Source organism: Homo sapiens, chromosome 1 (genome assembly GCF_000001405.40).
Source record: "Homo sapiens chromosome 1, GRCh38.p14 Primary Assembly".
NCBI lineage: Eukaryota > Metazoa > Chordata > Mammalia > Primates > Hominidae > Homo > Homo sapiens.
In genome coordinates, this window is record NC_000001.11 from 104995387 (window position 1) to 105001025 (window position 5639).

Consider the following 5639-nt stretch of genomic DNA (forward strand, 5'->3'; position numbering starts at 1 on the left):
TCATTCAAAAAGGATAACGAGTGTAGAATGGACAAAGCCACAGTGCTAGCTATGAAAATAAAATGTTAGAAAAGTCATATAAGGTTTTTACTTATTGGACCTTGCATTATTTTGGGGGAGGTATTGACGTTCAATTAAAAATCAACCTTTTAATGAAATAATGGTAAACTTTGGTAAGTATTAGCAAAGAGAAGAGATAGAATATCATTATAGAAAAAAAGCTGTAGTGCACTATGTAAAAGAATGTTTAGCTAAAACATTTTGAGGGAGTTGAAGACTCACGTTAGATCCAAAAATTAGGTTACTACATCTGCGAAATAGAGATTTGTTGTACATATGATAAAAAGTTCTAATAATAAGTATGGCACAGTTCTTGGCATAAATACTAAAATTGGGGGATATTATATTATTTTTGTAATTATTACCATTATTCAAATTCTACTTGAATATCTTTGAATGACTGACACTCAGCAAATTATAATCCCTTTGTTGAAATTATTTGAACCCAAATATTTATTTGTGTTGTTTTTTTAATTTTCTGTATTTATATTTTTTATCCTAAATGGGTCCATTTGGTGTTCTGGGTCAGAGACAGTTTTTAAATACTACACAGTAAATGATGAGTGCATCTGTTTCCCTTTGCCCTGGGAGTTACTCCTATGGCGATGTGATGAGAGACTAGTCAATTGTCCAAGGCAAGTTGCAAGACCCTCCACAGGCTAGAAAAGAGGAAACAATTTTTTTCTGTTTATTAAGGTATAGGAGACACCCATACCCCCACTCTCCAGAAGGGATCTCTTTCTGACTCCAGTTCTTTTGTTGTTAAAACATAAATAAAATATCGTCAGGAACAACAGAGCCCCAGGTATTTTCACTAGATGTCTCCCTGGAATTTGCATGTGTAGGAAGACAATTCCCCAGTCTCCCAGTTACCTTCTGCACTAACTTAGCTACATATCCCAGGATGTAATTATTTGGATCTTGGGGAGATAAGAAAAATGTAAACAAATAACTGCAAATCTGAACTTTATGGTATGTAAACATGTTCTAGGAGAAGTCAAAGCAAACAGTCACTAATTTTACAGTATATATACACAGATATATACATATATATATATATATATATATATATATATATATAGTCTTAAGAGATTAGGATACTGTACAAGAACAATGAGAAACCCAATTCCCTTGTATCCTAGCAGTATTACCTTGAAATACTGAGTAAATTGTGTTCTTACTTCTTGATGTTTTATAGTGTACCCTGAACATTTATATTAATATACAACTTGATTGTCTCACTAACGATTCTTAAAATCATTCTGAGATTAAACAAAAATCCACTTGACCTCCTCAAAGGAAAAGTAGTTTCTAAGTTTTGGTTTTGCAGTCAGAATTTAAAATGAAAATGTATTATGAAAACATTGTTCAAGTAGAAGTTTGATCATTACAGTTATTGAGTTGTAGGCTCTGGAGTTTGCAGTATTGTACTATAAGAATTTTAGTTCAAGTGTTGTGTTTAATCTAATTAACGTTATATTTATGAATTGGCAAATGTCCCCAAATGTGTAGGAACAAATACATCTGCTCTCACAGGGGCATCTGGCTTCTTGCTGGAACACATGGTTTCACCTTTACCTTCACCCACAGCCCAATGTGCATCAATATGGAGATAATGCAGTTCCATTTGTACCTCTTTGTGATTCAACATACCTCAGAGTGTTGAACATTGAAGGCAGAAGACAGAAGGCACTGCCAATGCACATTGATGAAAGAATTGTCAATAACAGTCAAATCGTACAGCATTAAAAATTTACCAACTATCTTATCATGAATGCTTATTTTAAGGAGAGCATTTTAAATAAATATATGACCATAGAAAATAAATATTTACATGGCTTATCAACAGCAGCATTATTTATTAATCCCCATAGATGTGACAAAAAGGAATATATTTCTACATATATATATACATACACATATATATACATACACAAATATGCATGTATATGTATATGTGTGCTTGTTTTTATGGTAATTTTTAATTTTAAGACATTGTTTTGGTATACATAAAGTAAACTATCATTTTTTAAATTTACAGTATTTAAGAATATAAAGAAAAAATCACCATCTTTTTAATTTTAGTGGTGTGTCTCAGCCTTGAAGCAGCAAAAATTTTATGAAAATATGGCAGAACATAATTCCAATGGCAGAAAGAGAATATTTATGGAATTCTAGAAGCCTGAGTATTTGAATTTCTGTCACTCACCAGATCAACTAGATTTGTGGAAGAGCTTTACCTTAAAAAAGAGTGATAAAAGAGTGTCATAATTTAGATTAAAGCCATATATCTGTTATAATTTGAAACATATATCACACACTGCACAAAGTATTCATTGTACTGTTAGAAAAAGTTGAGTAAAAATTCAGTTCGGAAAATAAAATCAAAAGTAAAACAGATACTAGGCAAATAAAATAAAGGAAAACAAACCACAGCAATAACAACAACAAAAACAAAAACACCACAGGCTGGATTAGGGGCTCAATTATGAGATTTATATTTATTCTTTACATGAGACCACATGTCATAGCCATGGATTTCATCACCATTTATAATTTAATGGTATTAAGATATAACTTGTTTAAACCTTTAAAATGATTTTTAGTTTTACCAAAGTAATGTATGTTCAAATTTGAAATAGTCATATAGTCACTTTCTATGTCAAGATGAACAGAAGAGTTTAATAAGTGAATTTTAAAGATACAATTTAAAATTAAAGTTAGAAAAAGTATATATGATTAAATGTATTTAAAGATTTGCAGGGTTTTACGAAAAATATGACAAAGCTATTGAAAGACCATCCTGGCTAACACGGTGAAACCCCATCTCTTCTAAAAATACAAAAAAAAAAAAAATTAGCTGGGCGTGGTGGTGGGCGCCTGTAGTTCCAGCTACTCGGGAGGCTGAGGCAGGAGAATGGCAGGAACCCGGGAGGCGGAGCTTGCAGTGAGCCGAGATGGCGCCACTGCACCCTAGCCTGGGTGACAGAGCAAGATTCCGTCTCAAAAAAAAAAAAAAAAAAAAGACAAGACATCTTTAATAAATAGAGAAATAATCCATGTTTATGCAAAAGGTATATAATAACATAAAAAAGTTCACCAAATTAACATACACATTTAAATCAATGTCAGTTTTTAAAATCCCAATTTTTGATACAAATTGTTACACTGTATCTAAAACTTTATGTAAAAATAATGTGAGAAAATAAATAGCAAAGAAGAATTCATCAAAACTTAAATAGAATAAAAATGTAGAAAAAATGGTCTCTCACACATATTAATTTACATTTTTAAATTATAGCACTAAAATAGGGTGGTCATGTTTGGTGAGATAGATCAAAATAATAGAATAAAAAGACCAGAACTGAGACATACATTTATACAGAAATCCTCTATATAAAAGTTGGCATTTTCGAATTTTAAAACCTTTTAAATAGGTATCAGTGCATATTTTTAAGATCTCAAGTTAAACACAGATTTTATAAATAATATATACATATAAATGGAAAGCAAAAACCATAAAGAAAAATGTTGATATGTTTTATTAAATTATATTTTCAAAATTCTATACATCAAGAGATATTAAACGTGATTTTTAAAAAAGTAACAAATTTACAATTAGAATATACTGCAAGACATAAACGTAAAGGGGTTGTTAATAAGTATATTGAAAGACATTTGTAAAACAATACAAAAATATAAAGAAACATGATAAGAAAAAGGCAAAATGTCTTAACAGGTAATTCTCAGAAAAGGAAATGTCACTTATATGAAGGTGGCGGAATCAAGAAAATGTTCAAGCATAATCTGTTTTCCAAGAGTTTCATGGGACCTCAGCCACCTCCAACTTGATATTCAAGTGCCACTTGCGTTAATGGCATCAAAAAATCTAATGTACACGTTCGTTTTGTTGTTACCTGGCTAACTATCCTAGTTAACCCTTCGTCTATTCACTGATACACATTTAATAGCGTCTAAGTTTGCCTCTAGATAAGACCAACCCTGCCTGGTTTAATTCCGACGAGGAATTTTCTTTTTTAATAGCTCAGGAGCCTGGGAATTGGCTCCATGAAGGAAAAAACTCTTGACATGTAAAATTGTAAAAAAAAACCTCAATACACACACCTGTAAATGGGTATAAAGACTGAACACATTTGGGAGTGTAAACTGAATTAGTAAAATGATAAAACACAGTTTCTTATATTAGGATGAATAATGTACTCTTAGTTTAGTATTTAAACTTTTCTGTAATCTCAGATTAATTTTACTTTCTATAAAGGGTGTTGAATTATATATAATTCTTCTGACACTAAGCTAGTATTATAATAAAATAATTAATTATAAACTATTCCAAAGGCCAAGCATGCCTAGTGAAATGGTTCAACCCACAAATTCTCAATTCACATATTAAACCTGAGAGTTGAAATAATTCAATATCCAATTCCAGTTTGTGTTAATTATCCTTGTTCTTTGTTCCAAATACAATCTGACTACATCTCTCTCACAGAACTGGCCACATTGTCCTGCAAGTAACATCTAGACTTTGAGGCACTTGAAAGAGGGAATAGTCTTCCCATCTCAGCACCTATTCTCTTGTCTAGCACAGATAAGGAGCTCAAAAATGTTCCAAGGATAAGTGATACTATGTTTGTCTTAGTTATCTCTTTTTTCATATGCATATGTAAATAAAAATAATGTATTCGAGTTAATTTAGGCAAAAAGGAGAACCTCATGGGGAAGTTATACTCAAAGTCAAGCAAGCAATTGGGACTCAGAACCTATTTGGGGCCACTGCTCAAGGCTCAAGTCCTAGTTTCCTGTTTTTATCTCTTATTTATTCTCTACCCTGCCTATCTCTTTCATTCTTATGCCTGTATGTTAACCTTTGATATTTGACTTAAAAATGGTACTTGCAACTTCCTAATATACATACTAGTTTTTGTGGTGTACAGTTGCATATTAGTTTTTGTGGTGTACAGTTCTCCCTGTTTGCCAAAGCATAGAGCAAATTTGGGCAGAGGGCCATTATTAGCTCAATTTGGATGATATACGAGGTAATGTTTATGAACTTAGCTGCAGTCATTGTACCTGGGACAGTGGAAGAAGGAGAGAATATTCCTAAAACTTAGGGTCACATCTCAGCAGGAAGAACACTGTACAAACATACGCTGGGAAACACTTCATCGTGTCATTTCTGCAAGTTTTGTTTCTGTGTTTGTTCCAGGGCTATCTTTCAAAGAACATTTGTGTAGCAAGCAATCCTGAAAGATAGCAATAGTGTTTTCCTATAAGAAAACACTACCAGGGCAGAGGGTAGCTTTGTTTCCTGATAGACATAGTAAAAAAAAAAAAAAAAAAAATGTGTTTTCAGGGCAAGAGTCTAGCAGGTATGCTAGTAGCATTGTTATCAAATTAGGGTTTTCTTAAGCTTAGGGTTCCTCAGCTATGACACTCACATGTTTTGTGTTTAGCATCCATCTGGGATGACCTCAGCATCACCCTTGCGGGACTTAGATGAGAAAGGTAACTGATGTGAAGACGAAGTAAGAGCTGCCTGTTGTACTGCGAGTCATAAAATC